The sequence below is a fragment of the Homo sapiens genome, chromosome 6 (genome assembly GCF_000001405.40).
Source record: "Homo sapiens chromosome 6, GRCh38.p14 Primary Assembly".
Lineage (NCBI taxonomy): Eukaryota > Metazoa > Chordata > Mammalia > Primates > Hominidae > Homo > Homo sapiens.
In genome coordinates this window covers 136774250-136796768 of record NC_000006.12, presented here as the reverse complement: position 1 = coordinate 136796768, position 22519 = coordinate 136774250, and the positions used below count along the sequence as shown (strand labels likewise).

Here is a 22519-nt window from a genome sequence, read left to right as displayed (position 1 = left end):
ATTTTCCACAGAATTAGAAAAACTATTCTACAATTCATATGGAACCAAAAAGGAGCCTGTAGAACAGCAGGAAAAAATAAAATAAAATAAAATAAAACCCCAAAAGAGCCTGAATAGCTAAAGCCAAAGCCAGAGGCATCATATTACCTAACTTCAAACTGTACTATAAGGCAACAGTAACCCAAACAGCACGGTACTGGTACAAAAACAGACACTCAGACTGATGGAACGGAGTAGAGAACTCAGAAATAAAGCCGTACACCTACCGCCATCTGATCTTCAACAAAGTCGATAAAAATAAGCAATGGGGAAGGACTCCCTGTTCAATAAGTGGTGCTGGCTAGCCTTATGCAGAATAAAACTGGACCCCTACCCATCACCATATACAAAAATTCACTCAAGATGGGTTAAAGATTTAAATGTAAGACCTCAAACCCTAGGAATCATAGAAGAAAACCTAGGAAATACCATTCTAGACATCGGCCTTGGGAAAGAATTTATGACTAAGTCCTGAAAAGCAATTTGCAGCAAAACGAAAAACTGACAGACGGGACCTAATCTAAACAGCTTCTGCACAACCAAAGAAACTATGAACAGAGTGTGGTGTTACGATATATATTGGTTTTCATCTGTGGTTTCTGGCTTGTAACTCCCATAACCCTCGTTATAGTCTTCTGTTATGTTGAGTGTGTTAGGCCTCAGAGGCAGGCCTCTAATTTTTTCCTGCTCTCCTTTTACCTGCTAACAACCCCCCACCTTTCTGACTGTGGGTCTTAAGACCTTCCCAGGAGAGGGTCCCATTGGATACACATGGACATAAAGATGGTAACAACAGACACTGCGGACGGGAGGGAAGGAGGGAGCAAGGGTTGAAAAACCAACTGTTGGGTGCTCTTTCTACTACCTGAGTGACAAGAACAATCGTACCCTAAACTTGAGCATCATGCAATATATCCATGTAACCTGCACATGTACCCCCGAATCTAAAATAAAACTTGAAATTACTTTAAAAAAAGCACTATTTTGCACAGCTCAGTGATTTTTAGGAATTCATGTGTGCCTTCACAGTGGGAGTGACTGTGCTCCTCCCAGAGTATTTTCTTCATGTACTTCTTCAAATACCTCCTACACTTCAGAAACTTCTCCAGATTTTCTTTATACCCTTCAACCAAAACAACATGCTGCAACAGCATGAATGTAGAAGCAGAAATGAGAATCCACTGTCATCTATTAAGCCAGACATTAAAAAGATTTGTGAAAATGCACAACGGTGTCACCATTCTTTTTGTTTTGTTTTGCAAAATACCGTTATTTTTCATTAAAAAAATTCACTTCAGCCTTTCAGCTGCCTAATTCAGATCCACAAAAATCCCACAGCCAAAGGGAACCCTGACTGTAGACTCACCCTCTGGATTCCTGTCCTTTCTTCCAGAATCTTGCCAGCTAGTTCCTCATTATCTCATAACCCTATGCTATGGAACATAAATTACCTAAACCGTGCCTTTTAGGTAGAGGGAGAATCTCTGGACCAGCTAGAAGCAGAATTTCAACATTGTATTGGGGTTTGGGTGCCTAACATAAAAAACATATTTAAAGTTAATAAATCAAAAAAGCCAGCAAAGTAAAACAAAAAATAAAAATTGTGTATGAAAATGGCTCTGAAAGGATCTGGAAGGAAAGCACAAAGTGAGAGGGTATAAAAAGTTACAGCTTTGGAAAATAGCTTGATATATAATTTCAGATTTTGTATTTCTACAGTAAAATGCTACTTGAGCATTTAGGCGTTTTAGTTTTCCACACATGAACCTCATCGATTTCCAGAGTTTGTGGTTCTTGGTGAGGATAGCGGGGAGGATTATCTTACTCCTACAAGGTTTTGGAGGTTTGACAAGTTGTTGAAAATATTAAAAGGCACATAACTATTACTAGCTCAGCAACATTTTGTTTCAGTATAATCACTGATTCACTACCTATTTTACTATTGATATTAATTCCAAAAGCTAGTGTGGGTCACATAGATTCCATTTTACATGAAGAATATAAAGTTTCCTTACTAGAAATTTACTTCTATTATTTTATACACCTTTAGAAAAATCTAATGTCACATTGATTCATTGATACAGTTGTGTAGCGGCTAGGTGTTTTTCCTCATGACTATTTCCTTCCTTCCTTTAATTATTATTTTTTTTTAAGATGGGGGTCTCACTATGTTGTCCAGGCTGATCTTGAACTCTTGGGCTCAAGCAATCCTCCCACCTTGGAGAAAATTAAAGAACTCTTTCCTTTAATTCTTTTTCTTTTTCTTTTTTTAGATGGAGTCTCGCTCTGTCGCCCAGTCTAGAGTGCAGTGTCGCCATCTCGGCTCACTGCAACCTCCACCTCCCGGGTTCAAACGATTCTCCTGTCTCAGCCTCTCGAGTAGCTGGGATTACAGGCGGCTGCCACCACGTCCAGCTAATTTTTGTATTTTTAGTAGAGACGGGGGTTTCACCATGTTGGCCAGGCTGGTCTTGAACTCCTGACCTCAAGTGATCTGCCCGCCTCGGCCTCCCAAAGTGTTGGGATTACAGGCGTGAGCCACTGCGCCCAGACTTTCCTTTAATTCTTTACTATTCAGCTATTTTATCCTTCCTTCTTACCCAGTTTGAAATGTAATTCATGGCTGGGCTGGGTGGTTCACGCCTGTAATCCCAGCACTTTGGGAGGCCGACGCGGGCATATCACCTGAGGTCAGGAGTTAGAGACCAGCCTGGCCAACATGGTGAACCCCACACCCCTCCCCCTCCCGTCTCTACTAAAAATACAAAATTAGCCTGGTGTGGTGGCGCATGCCTGTAATCCCAGCTATTCGAAAGGCTGAGGCAGGGGAATCGCTTGAACCCGGGAGGCAGAGGTCGCAGGGAGTCGAAATCGCGCCATTGCACTCCAGCCCGGGCAAGAAGAGCGAAACTCCGTCTCAAAAAAAAAAAAAAGTAATTTACATTTTCTTCTGCCTTTTTCACAGGACTCACTAGTCTCAGTTCCTGGAGATGGGAAGTACAAAACCTGTTTCTTTACTCAGTTGTAACTTGCACTGGCTTTCCTAACAATTACAGCATTCTGGGGTTCTCTGGGAACTTACACATCTGTTCTTTGCTCCCCAAATAAGCAGGTACTTTTTTTGATTGCTCTTAAACAATCTGGGTATTTCCCTCCCGGCCTCGCGTGATGCAGTTTAAAAAATAGAATAGGTCACGTTATTCCCCTGTTTCATCTTGTTGATAATTTGTGGAGTCGGGTAGAGACTCCATCTTCTATCTTAAGTATCTGGCGCTTGTGGGGGAATTAAGATCCTAAATGAGAATACTAAGTCCTTCGGCAGTTGGCACTAATCAATTACTCATTACTGATAACGGAATGAGCCACTGGAAATTTTAAAAGGAAAAGTACATGGGAGAACCTGATCAATTTAGCCAGCCACTTCTGGAGTGCCACAGTCACTAATGAAGCAACCTCCAGTGCAGGCCCTGGCTCCAGGGCGCTATGTACAACCTCCTGCCTCGCGCAACGTGGGTCTCCCGGAGCCTATCCTGCCAGCGCCGCGCACGGTCCCAGTCCACCAGGCCGCCAAGGCCCGGAGGGGGGCGCCCTAGTCGCGGGGAACACTGGAAATGCTTCAGGGGCGGACTCCGAAGACCGAGTATTGCCTCGAGGGACTTTCTGCGCCACCCCGTAATCGCTTGCGCTCCAGGTCTTCGTAGGTGGGGGCCGGGTGGGTGAAGACTGGGACCCTATGCCACGCGCAGCACTCAGAGGAGGGCTGGGGTCCCAGGGCCGCAGCGCGGTCAGTTCAGTCCGGGCTCGAGCTTCCTAGCAGCGCCCTCCTTGGGGGCTGGCCCTGACCCTCGGTGCCGCTACGAGTGGGTGGCCAGAAGCTGGTGGTGGAGAGGGAGAGCGTCTGCAAGGAACGACGAGGCTGGCGCCGGGACCACGCGGCGGAGGCGATCGAAAGAGAAACGAGGCCAGGCAAGGAGGAGGAAATCCACCCGATGAAGGCGAGCTGCCGCCTAAGAGGGAGGAGGGTCCTTTCGGCTGCCGCTGCTGCTGTTCCGGGACGCCGCCTGGGGAGCCAGCCCGCTCGTAAGGTGCGCGCCAGGTAGCTCCGCACCCAGGGGGCGCCCTTCCTGGCCCCTCCCAGAGCGGCCGGGACGGAAGGAGCTGCGCGGCGCGGCGCGGCGCGGCGCGGCGGGTGGCGAGGGCGGGCTGCACCCCGAGCGCGGCGCCCTTGAGCTGCACCGCGGCGCAGGTTTGCGAGCCGACTTGTCAGCCGGCCAAGAAAAGGAAGCTCCGTCCCTTCCCGCTCACCCGGCTTCCCCACCCCTTGTACTCTAAACTCTGCAGAGGGCGAGCGGCGCGGCCACGGAGGCGCCGAGGAGGAGCGAGCCGCCGCCGGGCAGCGGCGTGCCCTCGGGGGAGAGGGCGCCGGAGAGGAGGCGGCGGCGCGGCGGCGAGGGCGCGGCGCGCGATGGCAGCTGCTTAGCCCGGCGGGCGCGGAGCAGCCCCGAGCTGTGGCTGGCCAGGCGGTGCGGCTGGGCGGGGGACGCCGCCGCCGTTGCTGCCCGGCCCGGAGAGATGAGCACGGAGGCGGACGAGGGCATCACTTTCTCTGTGCCACCCTTCGCCCCCTCGGGCTTCTGCACCATCCCCGAGGGCGGCATCTGCAGGAGGGGAGGAGCGGCGGCGGTGGGCGAGGGCGAGGAGCACCAGCTGCCACCGCCGCCGCCGGGCAGCTTCTGGAACGTGGAGAGCGCCGCTGCCCCTGGCATCGGTTGTCCGGCGGCCACCTCCTCGAGCAGTGCCACCCGAGGCCGGGGCAGCTCTGTTGGCGGGGGCAGCCGACGGACCACGGTGGCATATGTGATCAACGAAGCGAGCCAAGGGCAACTGGTGGTGGCCGAGAGCGAGGCCCTGCAGAGCTTGCGGGAGGCGTGCGAGACAGTGGGCGCCACCCTGGAAACCCTGCATTTTGGGAAACTCGACTTTGGAGAAACCACCGTGCTGGACCGCTTTTACAATGCAGGTGCGTGTGTGACCCCTTTCCCATCCCGCGCGGTCGGGACCCGCGTTTAATCTGGCGGTCTTCGGGGCATTTCATTTTTCTGGGCGGGAAGCATTTACTTCTTGCCCCACTTTGGGGGCAGCGAGCGCCGCTGCGTGACTGCTCCTGTCGCTCGCCGCTCCGGAGAGAGCGTGTGTGCTTGTGCAAGAGTCTGTGTGTACTTGTGCGATAGACCTATGGATCCACCCACCGCCCAGCGCTGGAGCCCTGGGTCCATGCGATCGACTTGAACTGTTCTCCAGCAGTGTGAGATATTTGCCCCAGTCAGTCTTTCTCCTTTCAGTGTCTCGGTTTCGCTTCTGTGAGGTTTGGTCCCTGTTTTCTTTCTGCATATACCTGTGACCGTTTTAGATGAGGTTCTCCTTTTCTCTGTGTAGTTTTGAGAGTACGGGAACGATGACATACCATGCACGCAGAGTGTAACTATATTAATTTGCATGCCATGTGATGATCTTCCCAACTCACCTTACCTTCGATAAGTTTTAGTAGCTTGAATTTCCTCTCACCAACCCAGACTTTGAAGTAATTACAGTGCTTCCAAAGGCAATAACATTACAACTTACACTGAACTTGTGTGTTATCTTTGTAAGGATTTTGGTGAAAGAACCAGGGCCTGTTTTTTATTACCCCATAAACCATGGTGGGCTAGAAAGTTTGTAATTTAACATTGTCTAAAACACCTGTATGCTATCCTAATAATAAGATTAGTTTCGCCATTAAAGTGATTGCTAGCATAATCCATGAAAGAAATGTATCTTTCAACCTATCTCAAATTTCAGAAAATGTTAAGGCAGTTCTAGTAACTGAAGCACTTAGCTGTTAGCAAATGTTAGGAATAATACCATATTATGGAAATTAACCTTTAGTCCCCTGTACGTCCAGTGTTGAGAATATATACATATTTATGTTTACATTTGTGGGTAAAAACTTGGTTTAGTAGTTTCAAAACAATACACTTCTTGCATTTGTGATCACATAAAAGGCTTTATTTTCCAATCTTGTTTTCAATTCTGATTCTCTTTAGTGTCTTCCAAACACCTGAAGTGGGCTTATGTCAGTTTTGGAATTCAGCCAAAGCTGAATATTTTGAGAACAACAAGACCTTCATGTTAAGGAAGCCAGACTAAATAAACTAGGACTTTCTCGTTCTGGTATTTTTAAAATAGTTTTGGTCTTCATAACTGAGCATGGCTATAATATAGCTTGATTCTTTGGGTAGCTTGCTATAAAAGTTACATCAACATAACTTTTCTAAAAATTGTAGCACTCTTATTTTTGGATTATAATTTGGAAGAAACTTCAAAGAACTAAAAGATATGAGAGGAAAATACCCAACTGAACACTTGAGCCTATTTTTATTGCACTGATTGGGCGTTTTTTTCCTAGGGCTCTAGAAAAAAAATGTTAAACTCTAAGCTAATTTGAAAGAAACTTTCCTAACAAGGCTTGGTTTCTGTTATTCTCCAAATACTGTCTCTGGGAAAGGGAGAGAGAATGATTAGAAGGGAGCTGAAGTTTGAGTGTATTTCATTGAATCCTCCAAACAAGCCTGTGAAGGAAGTACTTACCTTCTTAGGTGAGAAAACCCAGGGATCCCTAACTGGCCCTAGGATTCATAGGGAGTAAGTGGCCAATGCAGGATTCCACTTCAGGTGGCTGACCCTAAAAGGTTGTGCTTGGGCCAGGCGTGGTGGCTCACGCCTGTAATCCCAGCACTTTCGGAGGCCAAGGCGGGTGGATCACCTGAGGTCAGGAGTTCCAGGCCAGCCTCCTGGCCAACATGGTGAAACCCTGTCTCTACTAAAATGACAAAAATTAGCCAGGCATGGTGGTGCACACCTGTAGTCCTAGCTACTCAGGAGGCTGAGGCAGGATAATCACTTGAACCTGGGAGGCAGAGGTTGCAGTGAGCTGAGATTGTACCACTGCACACTCCAGACTGGGTGACAGAATGAGACTCTGTCTTAAAAAAAAAAAAAAAAAAAAAAAAAAAAAGAGGTTGTGCTTGGCCCTTGCTTCCTCCATTTAGGTGGGCTGAGTTACTCTCAGAATCAAGGGAAGCTCCCTATCTTGGAATCATGTGAGTGAGCTGGCAAAGATCTTACCAGGCATTTAGGTGTGTATGGAATAGTGGGGAGGGCATGCTCTCGGAAGCCTCTTTTTCCTGCGCCCACTCTGTCCCTTCGTACTGCTTCTTTCAACCTAGACAGGTCTCAGTTTAACCCCTGCCCATCTGGATGGCATGAACTCCCAGGATGAGTGCCCTCTCAGTCAGCATGAAAGCATGAAAATGTGACAGAATGAAGGTAGTGCATCAGTTTTATCCAAACCCTTTGTTTCTATTTTATTTTATTTGTTTTAGAGACAAGGTCTCACTCTGTTGCCCAGCCTGGAGTGCAGTGGCATGATCATGGTTCGCTGCTAGCTCGAACTCCTGGGCTCTAGTGATCCTCCTGCCTCAGCCTCCCGAGTAGCTGGGACTACAGGCATGAGCCACCACGCTGGGCTAATTTTATTTTATTTTACTATGTTTTTTTTGTAGAGACGGGGTCTTGCTATGTTGCCCAGACAGGTCTCAAACCTGGCCTCAAGCAGTCCTCCTGCCTTGGCCTCCCAAAGTATTGGGATTACAGGCGTGAGCCACCGCACCCAGCCTCCCATCTTTAAGTTTACTTGTACCCAATGTTTAGCTCCCACTTATGAGTGAGAACATTCAATATCTGGTTTGGTGTCTTTTTGGTAGAACAATTTATTTTCCTTTGGGTATATACCTAGTAATGGGATTGCTGGGTCGAACGGTAGTTCAGCTCTTAGTTCTTTGAGAACTCTCCAAATTACTTTCCACGGTGGCAGGACAAATTTACATTCTCACCAACAGTGTGTAAGTGTTCCCTTTTCTCTGCAGCCTCGCCAACATCTGTTATTTTTTGACTTTTTAACAAAAGCCATTCTGACTGGTGTGAGATGTTATCTCATTGTGGTTTTGATTTGCATTTCTCTGATGATTAGTGATGATGAACATTTTTTCATAAGTTTGTTGGCTGCTTGTATGCCTTCTTCTGAGAAGTGTCTGTTCATATCTTTCGCCTACTTTTTAACGGGGTTATTTGTTGTTTTGCTTGTTGATTTGTAGACCTTTCTTAAATGCGTAGTTTGTGAATATTTTCTCCCATTCTGAGGGTTGTCTTTGTACTCTCTTAATAGTGTCTCTTGTTGTGTAGAAGCTCTTTAGTTTAATTAGGTCCCATTTGTCATTTTTGTTTTTGTTGCAATTGCTTTTGAGGACTTAGTCATAAATTCTTTCCCAAGGCTGATGCAGAATGGTATTTCCTGGGCTTTCTTCTAGGACTCTTATGGTTTGAGGTCTTACATTTAAACCTTAATCCATCTTGAATGAATTTTTGTATATGGTGATAGATAGGGGTCCAATTTTATTCTGCATATGGCTAGCCAGCACCATTTATTGAATAGGGAGTCCTTTCTCCATTACTTACTTTGTTGACTTTGTTGAAGATCAGATGGTGTTAGGTGTGTGGTTTCATTTCTTGAGGTCTCTTTCACAACTTCTCAACTCTGCCCTATTACTCAAGAGCAGCCATAAACAGGACCTAAACAAATGATCATGACTATGTTCCAACCAAACGTTATTCGTGGACACTGAAATTTGAACTTCATATACCTCACAAAGTATGATTTCTTGTTTTATAACCATTTTAAAATGTAAAAACCATTCTTAGCTTGCAAGCCATACTCAAAAACAGGTGGCCCACAGGATTTGGCCCCTGTGCCATGCTGACCTTTGCTCTACACCCATGACCTGTACTTGAAAGTTGAATTTTTATGAGATAGTGGGAAGAACATGGTCCCTCATATTAGATCCGAGTTTTCATCCCAGCTCTGCTGTGAACCATGTAATTGTGAGAACGGCCCTTCATTGCCTCCAGTGGTGTTTCTTTGCCTGTAAAATTGACCAGGGTTAGAAGTGAAGGGGGAATTGAACACATTTTTTTAGGATTCCCTTATTTAATCCTGTGAATTTACAAAGGCAAGGTGGCATGGGATGCAGGCACAAAGCATTAGAACAGCATTTTCAAGGTTTGGCTTTGGGTCCTGATTCTTTTCTAACTTGGAGCAAGTCATTTAAAGCCTCAGAAAAGAGTGGAGTGTTGGAATAATTGGTATCTGAGATTCCCTCCAGCTCTCAAATTCTGTACTTTAAAATGACAGCATTATTAAGACAAATGAATCATTTCAGCTCGTAGAGATTAAATGAACTGCTTGTATATATCATATTCCTGCCCCTGAAGAGCTCAGAGTTGGTGGGGAGGGCAGACCAATGCCTTTGCCTTAGCAGTGCCTCTGTGCCAGGATGCTGGGCTCCCAGGAATCAGCTTCAAAAATCAGATTGAGGATACAGTGGGTTCAAGGGTAGCTTCTTATGCTTGTTTTTTGTTTGCTTTTTTCCTTTTTGTGGAGAATGGGGTCTCGCTATATTGCCTAGGCAGGTCTCAATTTCCTGGGCTCAAGCTATCCTCCTGCCTCTGCCTCCCTAAGAGCTGGGATTACAGGTGTGAGCCACCACACCTGGCAAGGGGTAGCTTCTTAAAGGTGGTGACACCTGAAGTGAAATGGCAGGGTAAGCAAGGAGAGCCTAATGAAGGTCTCAACGTTTACATGGGAAACAGTGATGTTCGAATAGCTCAACCTAACGGAGTGAGTAAGAACTTATTCCCAGCTACTCGGGAGGTTGAGGTGGGAGGATCCCTTGAGCCTGGGAGGCTGAGGCTGCGGTGAGCTGAAATCGTGCTACTGCAGTCCAGCCTGGGTGACAGAATGAGACCCTGTTTCAAAAAAAAAAAAAAAAAAAAAAGAAGAACTTAAAGTTTGGTAACATTTTTAATAAACTTTCCCAATCTTTGTGTACTGATGTCTTTAAAAAGAATAGGTTGCAAGTTAAAGGTTTTCACTGATTTTTTCTTGATCTGTTTACTATTTAACTATATTTTAATTTCTTCTTTGACTACAGTTGTCATTTGCTTTTTCATTTTCTTTCTGAGGTGAAGCTAATGCTCTGTCAATGCTTTTATGAAAATTCATCTTATTTACGTATACAAGAGACTGTCACTCAGAGACAGCAAAGCCAAGCTGACAATACCCCTTCTTTGCCCTCTGCATTGTAGGCAGAAAATTCCGTAAAAGCTAAGAGATGTCAATACTATCGTGTTGCCCTGTGTAGGTGGACAGATCCCAAATGGGAAGCTTTCCAAATTTTTTTTTTTTTTTTTTTTTTTGAGATGGAGTTTTGCTCTTGTCACGCAGGCTGGAGTGCAGTGGCTCGATCTCGGCTCACTGCAACCTCTGCTTCCTGGGTTCAAGTGATTCTCCTGCCTCAGCCTCCTGAGTAGCTGGGATTACAGTCATGTGCCACCACATTCCAGCTAATTTTTTTGTATTATTAGTAGAGACAGGGTTTCATCTTGTTGGCCAGACTGGTCTCAAACTCCTGACCTCAGGAGTGATCTGCCTGCCTTGGCCTCCCAAAGTGCTGGGATTACAGGCGTGAGCCACCGCGCCCAGCCCTAAATTTTTTTTAAAAGACATCAATGCTGCTATTCTCTTGTTTTGCTTATGAAAACACTGAACCGTGAAGAGGTTATATTCATTCATTCAGGTTAAATGTTTGAAGGTTCTTGCTTGGAGCACACTTTTCTTAGAAACAGTATTGCACATGGTGGTCAGATTCTGGGACTAGCCTGTAAGAAGCCTGGTTAACACAGTTTATGGAACCATTCACCATTTTAAACATTCGGGAAAATTCTGTTTCTGAAACCTAAAACCGGGACTTTTCTTGTATTAGAGCAGTGACTTTTGCTTTCATCCACCTCTGAGTAGCATCTTGGCCAGATGTAGGAGAAGCATCAACTTGGAGTGGTGAAGGTGGTGGGGCTGTGGTGAGGAAGGGGACAAAGGGAAGATCAGGTGGCTGCAGGGAGAACCGGGATGCTGTGTGAAGGAGGAGGCAATGCCAGCAGGAGATCCAGCAACACTTTCACTTCCTTTAGGCTTCTTCCCTTTCTACTTCTGGCCGACGTAAGACCCAGGGATGCTGCTGTGCTCAAGGCCACCTCACTCCTTCAGTGGACACAGGGTTAGCTTGGCTGCCTGCTTCCCATTTCCTTACCACCAGCCTTCACATCCGCCCGGGCCTTTCAGCTTGGCTCACTGCAGATTGCAACCGCTTACTCAGCCTTTCACCCTGTAGCAATCATAGGTAACAGGAAGGAAGCACATGCTAGTTAAAATTGTAAGAACTTAGCTTTTCTATTCTCATCCATGGTATGTTCCCACTTTACTTGAGCTTGTGACAAAAGTCGCCCATGTGTTAATATGCCATCTTGCTGGAGAGGCATCTGACCTTGCCAGGCTTTGGCTCCAACTTGCTTCCAGCAAAGCTCCTTAGGACTTCTAATCTTATTTGGTAAAACAATAAAACAAAACAGAACATAACCTTGTATCCCATCTATCCCAGATGGAGAAGTTCTTGAAAATTGTCCAGCCCACTTCTGCATTTCTACTTTCAATATACTTTCCGAGTATATTGTCTCATATATTTTGAAGGAGAGAGTAAAGTCTGTATGTCCTAAATAGTGGTTCCCACGAACCAGTTAAAAAAATTTGGAGGACTGACATGTGTTTGCCAACATTTAAATTTTTCCAAGTAAGAGTATTATAAGTAGAGAAAGTGAGGAAAATCGAGAGAGAGAAAGAGAGACAGAGAGACAAGAAAATCAACAACCAGCCACCTATTGCCATGATTTCTTAAAAAGGAAAGTTTTATGTTAAAAAAAAATTAGTGGGGGACATAACCTTAGAATGAAGGGCAGATCTTCACATACAGAAAATGTGTGCAAAAACTCATGACTTGTTATTTATTTTTCCCATTTCTCCAAGGATGAGTGAAAACTTTATCACACCAGTCAACAGAGTTGTGTTTGAGAGCCTCTGATTGGAACCGCCCTGCAGCCCCTTCCCACCTTTCAGCCACTGCTTCACGTGAGAAACGAACCTTAGTAAAATTATCAAAAGAGCAAACGTAGATAAACTCATAAGGGAAAACTCTAGTTAGGGAAGGATTTTTTAAAAAAATCCCAGTGGTGTCCAACACATGGTTTTTCTCTGAGCTGTTCACGTTCCCTGGCACACCATTGTAGCAGCTGCCACCCACCGCACACAAACTGACAGCACTGCTGCTTCTTGCTTTCTTGGATAATGGGTCAATTAAGGCAAAACTATAATTTTTTTAAAAGAGCTTAACTAGAAAATCGGACGGAAAAAAGCAAAATCAAAAAGAAAACTCCAGAGCACAAAATTAGTTTTTAGAGTACCAATTTCTTACCCCACATCATCAGCTGCATGTTGTCATGACCGGCTCTGCTTCCTGGGCTGCCAGGATCCTGGTTTCTTTCCTTAATTTGGTCACCTGTTGTCTGCTTGAGACATTATCAGTTGGTAGTTCGAGCTGGTTCCATCTCTGGGTGAAGCCTGTGCATTATATAAGCGCATAACACAGGCTTGTCTCACCCGTGGCCTTGGCTGGAGCCAGCCTTTTGGGAGTTCTCTGTTTATAGGGCAGTTCCCCTCTGGTGGCTATAAGAACTGTGCCCTACTTCCTGTTTCAGAGGTCTGGTTAGAGGCCCATTCAGTTCCTGTTTCTGGTTTGCAGGATAAAATTGGTTCACACTTTCTTTGTGGAGCAGTGGGAGATGGACAAGCACAAAGTCCGGGAAATGTGCAAGTCTCTCCAGCATGAGGTACCAACCGTGCCTGCTTTCCAAGTACTTCCTCCAAGTGGTCCCTTCAAACACCACTCCAAGCCAGGAAAGTAGAGAACCATAGGAAAATGCATTATTGGCTACTGACTCCAGGGCTGACAGTGTGCTGTGCAATGATGGCCCCTCCCAGGAGGCCATTCGAGGGCCTTTTATCACACGCTCCCCTTTCTGTCACCCATGGAAGCCTCACTGTGGCTGTAGAACATGCCAGCATTTGCCCCGCTCCACCTGGGGCAAGATGAGAGTGGGAAATGTGGTGGAGGTGGGCAGTGTTGCAGGAACCCACAGCTATGTGGTTATCAGAAGAAACTGGGAACCCACAGCTTTGGGAAAAATATATCTTGAAGACAGCCTCATCTTCCTGTAATTTGGATATAGGTAGGTGGGGAAACTGGCTAGATATGAGAAAGATACCCTCATTTTCAGGGAGTAAAATTAAACTTGAAAATTTTATTAGTGGCATAAAAGGGAAATAAAGGAAATCAAGGCAAAATGATAAATTAAAAATCCATTGGTGACTCTGATATATTGGTTTGTGTAGTTGTGGGTTTTTTTTTTTTTTAAGAAGATCTTGCTCTGTCACCCAGGCTGGAGTGCGTTGGCATGATTTCGGCTCCAACTGCAACCTCCGCCTTCTGGGCTCAAGTGATCCTCCTGCTTTGAGCACAGCCAAGCCTGGCCAATTTTTGTATTTTTATGTAGAGATGGGGTTTTACCATGTTGCCCAGGCTGGTCTCAAACTCCTGGACTCAAGCGATCCTCCTGCCTCAGTCTCCCAAAGTGCTGGGATTACAGGCGTGGGCCACTGCGCCTAGCCTAGTTGTTTTAATGTATTAGTTTTTCTCTTTGGCTAAAGGTATTGACTAGAGACACTAATCGAAATATGTGCCAGGTTAGTGGAAAAGCAGGAAGGATATGAGACAAAGCTGATTTTCAAAATCTTGTCTAAGTGTTCAAAAAATGTAAATAATTGATAACTTACATTTCATATGAATTTTATTTTGTAGTGTTTTTGGTTTTCCAAAGGAAAACAGAAATAACTGAAACTACATTGTGATAATTTTCTTAGGGGAGACAGGAGAGAGAATTTTAAATATTAAGGGCATTTCCTATTTAATAAAATCATAGTAGAGCAGATCTGTATAACTTAAATGCCACAGAAGTTGCACAGGGTAACAGAAAACATTCCACTATAAGCAGACCTTTTCTGTTACAGTAGTTCATCAACAATGAGGAAAGCAATTGCCTTTGGTATATGATTCATACAGGAAGTAAGTTATATTCCTTTGTACTGGCAATCTCCAAAAATGGTTGAGACCAGTTATACCAGTACTTTCCAATACTTGTAGCCTCTTCTACACCCGTGAACTCTTAAGAAACAGAAACATGGAGGAGAGCTGCCATAGTCAGTATCAATCAGCATCATCTTACCTGTCCATTGACCCCAAGCCATATAAAACCAAGTCTTTGCCTAAGCCAGAGAATTCTCTCTCCTTTAAAAATGTTGATTACTTCTATTTCTTTTGTTTTTTCTTGTCTTTTTTTTTTTTTTTTATTTTGAGATGGGGTGTCACTCTCTCTCCCAGGCTGGAATGCAGTGTCTCAATCATAGCTCACTGCAGTCTCTAACTCCTGGATTCAAAGGAATTTCCCACCTTAGCCTCCCAAAGTGTTGGAATTACAGGCATGAGCCACTGTGCCTGGCCTAATTACTCCTATTTATTATTTTTAAAAAGTCATCCAAAGCTATTACATGTCAAATACCCTTTTTTTTTTTTTTTTTCCAGTAGAGACAGGGTTTTGCCTTGTTGCCCAGGCTGGTCTTGAACTGCTGGGCTCAAGCAATTCACCTGCCCCTGCCTCCCAAAATGCTAGGATTACTGGCATGAGCCAACATGCCCGGCCATGTCAAATACCTCTTAATGTCACGCTCAAGTTTTGTAATATGGTCATTGTGACAAATGTCAGCTTAAAGCTGGGGCAACCAGGACAGAAGTGCTATTTCTGCTGTCCAGGGGCCACCGCTTTGGCCTGTAGCTAGATATTTCCCAATTTATAATTTGATCACTCTGAGGTTGGGGTGATTTTATGCAGTTGGGTCAGAATGATAGTATCAATGAATCAGTTGTTCAGTGCTACTCCTCCTCCTTTGATTATCTTACTCTTCAATGAGATGATCCTATTTCTTATAAAATAGTAGGCATGGCAGTGTAATTAACTATATCTTATAGTTGGAAAGGCTATGAGAGCGGCCAGATTAAATCAAGTGGTTGAATAGGAGGTCTTCCAACTTCCAAACAATACAGATGTTTCGTTCTCTATACTACCGTTCCACCTGCAGTGAAAAACATTTCAAAACATTTTGAACTACATATTCTGTTTAAGAGGATCAGTTCTAATATTTTGTTCCACGATGGCAGTTATTATTATGAGGAAGAGTCATAGTAGTCACACAACTTCTGATTCCCTCTTGCTAGCAGATTTTAGTGACATCTTAATCAGAAAACTGACTTACCTTTTTCGATCAGTGTCAACAAGGGAGCCAACTCAATAGTGGTTGCCAGTTGCTTGGCCTTAAGTTGTAAGTTGGGCTTTCTTCAGGCAAGTCTTGGGCTGTTTCCTGGGCATGATGGTTAGATGGACTGCGATAGACCAAAACTAGCCTTTCTCTAGAATGATCCAGAGAGCTGGGTTTACAGCACAGCCTGGGGACAGTTCTTTCCTTGTTTCCCTGAGATGTGCTGGCTCTGGAGTCTGATGCAGTTTCCCTTAATGTGATAGCATATTCCTACTAATTAAATTTTGTAAGCATTTATTATTAATTGCCTATAATATGCCTCTTACTGAATCAGGATGTATCGAAGAACTAAGAAGCAGAAGAAGGCATAAATCTTCAGGAGTATAAAGATGTATAACGTGTATCTGTTTGCATGGGAAAAACTGAAGCTAAGGGAAGCAGTCAGGAGGAACGACCTACATTCCCCATTCCTCTCTACCAGACTCATTCTTTTTAGAAAAAAAGTTAAAAAAATTTATGAAACATTTTAGTTATAAAGAAAGTATATAAAATAGTTTAACAGACACTTATGCATCTACATACTACCTAAATGTAATAGTTAATAGCAGTTAAACATTTTGACATACTTGTTTTACTTCTCTTTCTTTTTTAGAAAAATAAATCATTCTGGGCAAAACTAAAAGCTCCTTTCTAACTCATCAATTTCCCTTCCTGAGAAAGTGCATTCTTCACAGGAAGCGCCACATTACAATGTTCTAAACTATAATTTACGACAATCTAAAATAACAACTCTCTACAAATATAAACATATGCCAAATATTGAATTAATTCATTATATAATGAGAAAAACCAGAAAGATATTAAAACTGGTTGAAAGGAGAGTTCGAAGAGCAAATATGGTATACATACATACAAAATCAGGAATGGTGAAATGAATTTGCTAATAGATGCAAAGTTGGTTAATATTTTGTAAGGCAATTCTATAAGTATAAATGTTGGAGTCATCTATTCTAAAGGGTAGAAATCAATTGTATCTCTACCAAACCATATTCATTTGTATTGCTGTGGACAAAAAATATTTGCATTACTATCAGTTTTGCATAAGGTAATATTTACCCCAACAGCATTGTAAAATAGCCAAATCACTAGGAGGACAATCAAAGGTACACACCCCTTTAAAATCTGATAATTCCCAGAGGGAGTGCTGCACTAAGCCCAGCCCTCCACTGAAAGGATACTCAGTACCTTTTGACCTTTTCCAAGTCTTTGACAACTCTTCCCTGCAGAAGGTTGGTCATTCTCAGCAGGCCCTATGCCTGTCTCTCCAAGTGCTTTTAACTCAACCTGACTTAAAGGACCTGTTGTCTCTGCTACTCTGCCATCTGAAGCCGTTTGCCCTGAGAGGGTCCCAGAATACCTTGCTTTAACCAGGGTTCCTAGTCATGGTTATTTTAGGTCAGGGAACATGTACAAATTGACAACAGGATGTCAGTCCTCTAGGTTTTGGATGTGAGAAAAGATATAAGCCATGTGGCCATAACCAAGTCAGGAATATGCCAGTGGTATGCCTGTGGTGTCTGGAAACCCAACTTCATTCTTATACTAGGAGAATATAATTGCTACTATGGGACCCTCAGTAGTTTAGACTGTTCCAAATAAGCCTATTTTATGAAGGAAAAAGGTCCTTATATTTTAGAGGGCTAGCAAACTGCTGTAAGATTACATAAGCTGACAAGCTGAATATATGACACTTTGGTCTTATAAATTAAAGCAAGCCATACACAAACAGCATGCATTACTGTGTACTAGGTGTATGTGCTAATCACTCTATCACACTATATGTATGACCTTATTTAATCTTTTTTTTTTTTTTTTTTTGAGACAGGGTGTCACTCTGTTGCCCAGGCTAAAGTTCAGTGGCATGATCATGGCTCACTGCAGTCTTGATCTTCCAGACTCAAGTGATCCTCCTGCCTCAGCCTCCCACGTAGCTGGGACTACAAGCATGCGCCACCACACTGGGCTAATTTTTTATGTTTTTATTTATTTATTTATTATTTATTTATGTATATATTTTGAGACAGGCTCACTCTATACCCAGGCTGGAGTATGGTGGTGTGATCTTGGCTCACTGCAACCTCTGCCTCCCAGGTTACCATGCCCAGCTAATTTTTTGTGTTTTTAGTAGAGACAGGGTTTTGCCATGTTGGCCAGGCTGGTCTCGAACTCCTGGCCTCAAGTGATCTGCCCGCCTTGGCCTCTCAAAGTGCTGGGATTACAGGCGTGAGCCACTGTGCCAAGTCTTATTTTTATTTTTTGTAGAGACAAGGTCTCACCATGTTACCTAGGCTGGTCTCAAACTCCTGAGGTCAAGTGATCCTCCCGCATCTGTCCCCCAAAGTGCTGGCACTGGCATTACAGGCGTGAGCCACTGCACCCGGCCTATTTAATCTTTAAAACAACTTTATGAGGCAGATAGCATCAGTCGATCAGTTTTTTTGTTTGGGGAAACAAAAACTGAGACCCTGAAACTGTTACCAACAGTGGTCTCAGTGTCACATAGCTACTGAGGGGCAGAATCCAATTCTGAACCCAAGTCTGTCAGATTCCGGAATCTATTCACTTATAACTTATGTTCTCCTGTCTCACAGAAATACATTTTCTATTTGAAAAGATTGAAATAACTATTACTATCATGATTACAGGCATCACATCAGCAGACATTTTTTGGCTACTTAAAATCTGCAAGATATCTAAGGTCTATATAAAATTAGGTTAAAAAGGTGTGATTTCTGCCTTTTATTATTTTACAGTCTATTATTTGAATTCAGCAATTTAATAAATAATTGTTGGGAGCCTACAACATGCAAGATTATATAGTGAACTAAGTAATGAATAAGTAAAAAATCTGAGGGAGTATTTTAAGGACTTCATAATGTAGATCATTTCATTGAACTGTGCACTTGAGAACAGGGTTTATTACTGCTATAAAAGATGTGAAAATGCATCAAAAATAAAAATCTTTCACAATAGTATAATATGCATTAGACCCCCACTTATTTTTTTAATGAAATCAGTATCATAATGAAAATTACGTATATAAATTCCAAGATTGTATTAAAAACCTTTCAGATCTCTTATAAATACAGGTAAAATATTATTAAATTTACTTCCAAGAGGGGTATTATGATTCTTTAATTAAGAAGAACTTGTTTATACTGACTCTTAGGGAAACAAATAAGAGTTATTGCCTGAGATTTAGAACCTTTTAAAAAATATATTATTTTCCTAGTAGTGGAATTTGAAGTCCTTTGTATTAATCTTTTCAGCTTGTGAAAAAATCTAGGTTGTTTTAGATAATTAAAATATGCCAACAACATAATTTCAATTTGGTATTTTTCTCACCCGTGTTACATAATAAAATTGTGTTGCTTGCTTGTTGATGATGTGGAGTGTGTGGTTCTTGGCTGACAGAAAATTGTCAACCTGAATGCCAAGCATTCGAAGGCTGGGCCAGAATAAGAATAGAAAATAAACAAACCAGGTTCCTTTAGATAATAAAGGCAGATGTAGTAGATGCGTTGTCAATGCAGAACCATATCTGTAATTTGATATACATAAAACATGTTCTAATGGAGAAATCTGGGCTACCTCTGAAGGTTCTAAGTCACATTAATGAATGTATACTTTATATAACATTTCTTTTTTAAACATTTATGTAACATTTCTGATTGTTTTTGAGTCACATACATACAGTTGATGTGCGTTAGTTCTTCCATGACATCTCCTAGATTTTTAGGAAATTGGTCTTGGGAAACTAGCTTTGGTTGATCCAGGGAAAATTCGGGTTTCAAATATGGACAGTAGGATTTTAATTTTTCAGGCTGCAGTGAGCTGCAATTGCACCACTGCACTTTAGCCTGGGCAAACGGAGACCCTGTCTCAAAAAATTAAACAACAAAACACCTCCTGGTCAGTTTCCCAGATACAGTGACCCAGTGTTTACTGTATACATAGAATTTGAATAAGAAAAAGATTTGTAGATACTCTAGAGGAGCCTGGAGTCTGGTTTTAAAAACTGATATATCTCTTAGCGTGTGTATATTATTGCAAAGCAGGGTTGGGGCACAAGTTGCTTGGCTTGACCTAGTGAAAGAGAACAAGGTTGTAGCTTGCACATGAGTTATGACAAGAATAGTTGGCTTGACTTTTCTTGCTGAGCAACTCAGTGCTACCAATATTTTATGTGTTTGAAGTACACTTGGCAGTTGGTAAATCTGAAATAAAATTGGAAAAGAAATACTATCCTAGACTGTTAAGAGAGTTCCAGACTCTTCTTTCCCTTATAAAACCAGTAGTATAGAAAACTCATTTAGCCATTAAATATGACATATGAGTGGGTTACCCAAGGACCGATCCTGCCGTGATGATTAGAATGTCATTTTGCAGATCTGCGTTGTCTGTATTTCCAAAGTCTAAAAGTAAGGGCTGTCAGCATTAAGAAATCTTTGCAGTCACTTACAATTTTGACTTGATTACCATTTAACTTACAGGACCATTGTGTTAGTCTTACCAATCCGTTCAGCATATATTCAAATAAAGGGCAACAGAGGGCAGGCAAAAGGGAGACAACTCCAAGCTAAAGAATTTGTCGGTGTTGGAGGTTTGAGCTTAAGTAACCTTCCAGGAGTATTACGGTTAAATTTATAACATCCTCACCTGTGGCTCATTTGGTGCCCATTTGTGAAATCTTTAAGAAGATTAAACCTTAATAGCAGCCAGGTGCAGTGGCTCATGCCTATAATCCCAGCACTTTGGGAGGCAGAAGCTGGTGGATCGCTTGAGCACAAGAGTTCAAGACTAGAATGGGCAACGTGGTGAGACCTCTTCTTTACAAAAAATATAAAAATTTGCTGGTTGTGGTGGTACACACCTGTAGTCCCAGCTACTCAGGAGGCTGAGGTGGGAGGATCACTTTGAGCCAGAGAGGCAGAGGCTGCAGTGAGCCATAATTGCGCCACTGCACTCCAGCCTGGGTGACAGCAATGTCCTGTCTCAAAAATAAATAAATAAATAAAAAATAAAAGACAACCCCAAAACCATAATAGCATACAAGTGACACTCTTCTACTTTAGACGAATCGTGTATACACTTGGAACTAAAATTAAGATATTGATGTATCTCCTTGGTTTACCTGAAGAGACATTTTCACTGCTGGGTGAAATATACATAAGTAATGAGAAAGTACAGCCTCACAATTTCCAAGCTTCATAGAACTCAGGACTCTCCACTTAGTGTAGGTTTTATTAACGAAATAGGTTTTTATCATGTTAAATAATGAACACTCTTCTTGATGGATAATCTCTTGATTATTCAGGATTGGATCTTCTTATCATTACCTGTTTGCAGGCAAGTTAACTTCTAATTTGAAGTAGCCCAAGAAGGGCCAGATCTCATCTTCAAGTGATCCCAGAAGGGAATGCATTGTACACACAAAAGCTGTTGCCACCGTGTTGTGACATCGCTTGAGAATTTTCAAGCAAAATTGCACTGTGGTATTTGTATATTGCCATGCCTTAGTTTTCCCAGGCCACAACTATTTAATAGGCTTGTATGTTCCTCTAAAAACATCATTAGACACATTGGACTAAGTTTGCAGGAGTGGATGTATGAAGCAATCATGATTTTTCTGTTTTCACACTGTATGTTCTTTGGGTTATTCTCCATGGTTTATTATCAGGGGAGTTAGGTGCATGTTACCCAAAGAGTTCTGTGCCAGAGGATATGCCACATTTAATATGAGGAGGTTTTCTGAGAGCATAGAAGAAGAAAAAGGCTATGACAGGAGAATTCGAGACTCTCATCTGCTTTCAGTTTTCAGTTACCTGGTCTACGTGCCGAAAGCCTAATTTGAGACCTGGACTAGGTTACAAGCTTCTAATGACTTAATATTTAGTCTATGAGAATTATTTTTTCAAGACTTGTCATTGTCCCATTTAGCCACAGCAAAAAGTATTACCCAACTTTTGAGCCATAATCTATACCTAATATGTGGTCACCAGGTAAATTTCTTCCTGAATCCAGCACATTGCCTAGTTGCTTATAAGCTTGACCTTAGCATTCTTTTTCTTTTAAGGTATGAATAATCTTGGAACTATTTATCCTTCTATTTTTATTCTCTAAGATCTGAATTTTTTTTTAATTCATATTTCTGTTAGCAGCCCTATCTATTCCCTCTTGAAATGACCTCTGAAGGCTGTTAAATAAATTTTGATTTGCTTTAAGGATTCAGTATTCAAATCATGCTTGATTCTTTGGGAGATATAAAGAAAGCTGTTGCTCCATAGGTCTTGCATCATACGTGATATGACTAAGAAGGAACAACTGAAAAAGTCAAGTCCAATTTACACAATAATGAAAAACCTTTTGTTAGAAACATCTGACAAACAAGGAGCAGTTTCTGGTTTTTTAAAGAATCATTAGAATATAGTTCCATGTCTCTTTTTCTGTCTTGTTAACCCTGCACCTCTAGTACCTAATGGAGTGCTTGGCACTTGATACAGATTGATTGATTGAATGAATATCACACTTTCCCCCCAGTGGTGTTTTAGTTATTGGTTTTGATGTCTGCTTTTTCTGCTTAAGTGTGAGTTAATGACAAAGATCACATTTTATGGTTCTTGACATGCCCCAGGTCTTCTGTATCAGTGTGTGACCTGTAGATGACACTTAATGATGTTTGTAGAATACAATTCAATGATGTCATCCCTTTCCTGGAGCGGCTCACAGTCTGGTAAGGGAGACCAGCCTATGAACGTATTATATATATTGTGCTAATTGTTTGTTGTTGTTGTTTTTTAAAAAATTTGAGACTGAGTCACTCTGTCACCCAGGCTGGAGTGCAGTGGTGCGATCACAGCTCACTGCAGCCGTAACCTCCTTGGGCTCAGGCGATCCTCCCACTTCAGCCTTCTGAGTAGCTGGGATCACAGGTGTGTGCCACCATGCTGGCTAATTTTTTAATTCTTTTTTTGTAGAGATGGGGTTTTGCCATGTTGCCTAGGCTGGTGC

General features: G+C 42.7%; 1 protein-coding gene and 1 long non-coding RNA gene across 11 annotated transcripts in view, besides 7 other annotated features; one reads left to right on the top strand and one right to left on the bottom strand.

The window, feature by feature from the left end:
* Window positions 3212-3291: an enhancer, noted in NCBI's record as "active region_25125". NCBI's record gives its function as "activates an Ori minimal core promoter by ATAC-STARR-seq in GM12878 lymphoblastoid cells {active_cell/tissue: GM12878}" and the evidence as "EXISTENCE:reporter gene assay evidence [ECO:0000049][PMID:35858748]".
* Window positions 3662-3721: an enhancer, noted in NCBI's record as "active region_25124". NCBI's record gives its function as "activates an Ori minimal core promoter by ATAC-STARR-seq in GM12878 lymphoblastoid cells {active_cell/tissue: GM12878}" and the evidence as "EXISTENCE:reporter gene assay evidence [ECO:0000049][PMID:35858748]".
* MAP3K5 (mitogen-activated protein kinase kinase kinase 5) overlaps window positions 3678-22519 on the top strand; it is a 236046-nt gene continuing 217204 nt past the window's right edge. For 7 of the 10 annotated variants that reach the window (XM_017010875.2, XM_047418784.1, NM_001438058.1 and 4 more), the window contains exons 1-2: window positions 3678-4124; window positions 4381-5059. In XM_017010875.2, the coding sequence (XP_016866364.1) occupies window positions 4029-4124; window positions 4381-5059 (775 nt within the window). In that variant the 5' untranslated portion in view covers window positions 3678-4028. Of the gene's footprint in view, window positions 4125-4291; window positions 5060-22519 lie in introns of those variants that run through there. The other 3 variants (NM_001438579.1, XM_017010877.2, NM_005923.4) reach the window with 1 other exon arrangement.
* Window positions 3832-4061: an enhancer, noted in NCBI's record as "active region_25123". NCBI's record gives its function as "activates an Ori minimal core promoter by ATAC-STARR-seq in GM12878 lymphoblastoid cells {active_cell/tissue: GM12878}" and the evidence as "EXISTENCE:reporter gene assay evidence [ECO:0000049][PMID:35858748]".
* Window positions 4082-4721: a silencer, noted in NCBI's record as "silent region_17575". NCBI's record gives its function as "represses an Ori minimal core promoter by ATAC-STARR-seq in GM12878 lymphoblastoid cells {active_cell/tissue: GM12878}" and the evidence as "EXISTENCE:reporter gene assay evidence [ECO:0000049][PMID:35858748]".
* Window positions 4852-4921: an enhancer, noted in NCBI's record as "active region_25122". NCBI's record gives its function as "activates an Ori minimal core promoter by ATAC-STARR-seq in GM12878 lymphoblastoid cells {active_cell/tissue: GM12878}" and the evidence as "EXISTENCE:reporter gene assay evidence [ECO:0000049][PMID:35858748]".
* Window positions 5027-5542: an enhancer, noted in NCBI's record as "H3K4me1 hESC enhancer chr6:137112365-137112880 (GRCh37/hg19 assembly coordinates)". NCBI's record gives its function as "activates a minimal SCP1, AML or CMV promoter by ChIP-STARR-seq in naive H9 embryonic stem cells {active_cell/tissue: H9 hESC(naive)}" and the evidence as "EXISTENCE:reporter gene assay evidence [ECO:0000049][PMID:30033119]".
* Window positions 10715-12722, bottom strand: MAP3K5-AS2 (MAP3K5 antisense RNA 2). Its single transcript, NR_134635.1, has 2 exons — window positions 12495-12722; window positions 10715-11354 (listed from the first exon to the last, which is right to left on the bottom strand). It is a non-coding gene; the product is annotated as an MAP3K5 antisense RNA 2 (long non-coding RNA).
* Window positions 11164-11458: an enhancer, noted in NCBI's record as "tiled region #14394; K562 Activating DNase unmatched - State 5:Enh". NCBI's record gives its function as "activates a minimal TATA promoter and a strong SV40 promoter by Sharpr-MPRA in K562 cells {active_cell/tissue: K562}" and the evidence as "EXISTENCE:reporter gene assay evidence [ECO:0000049][PMID:27701403]".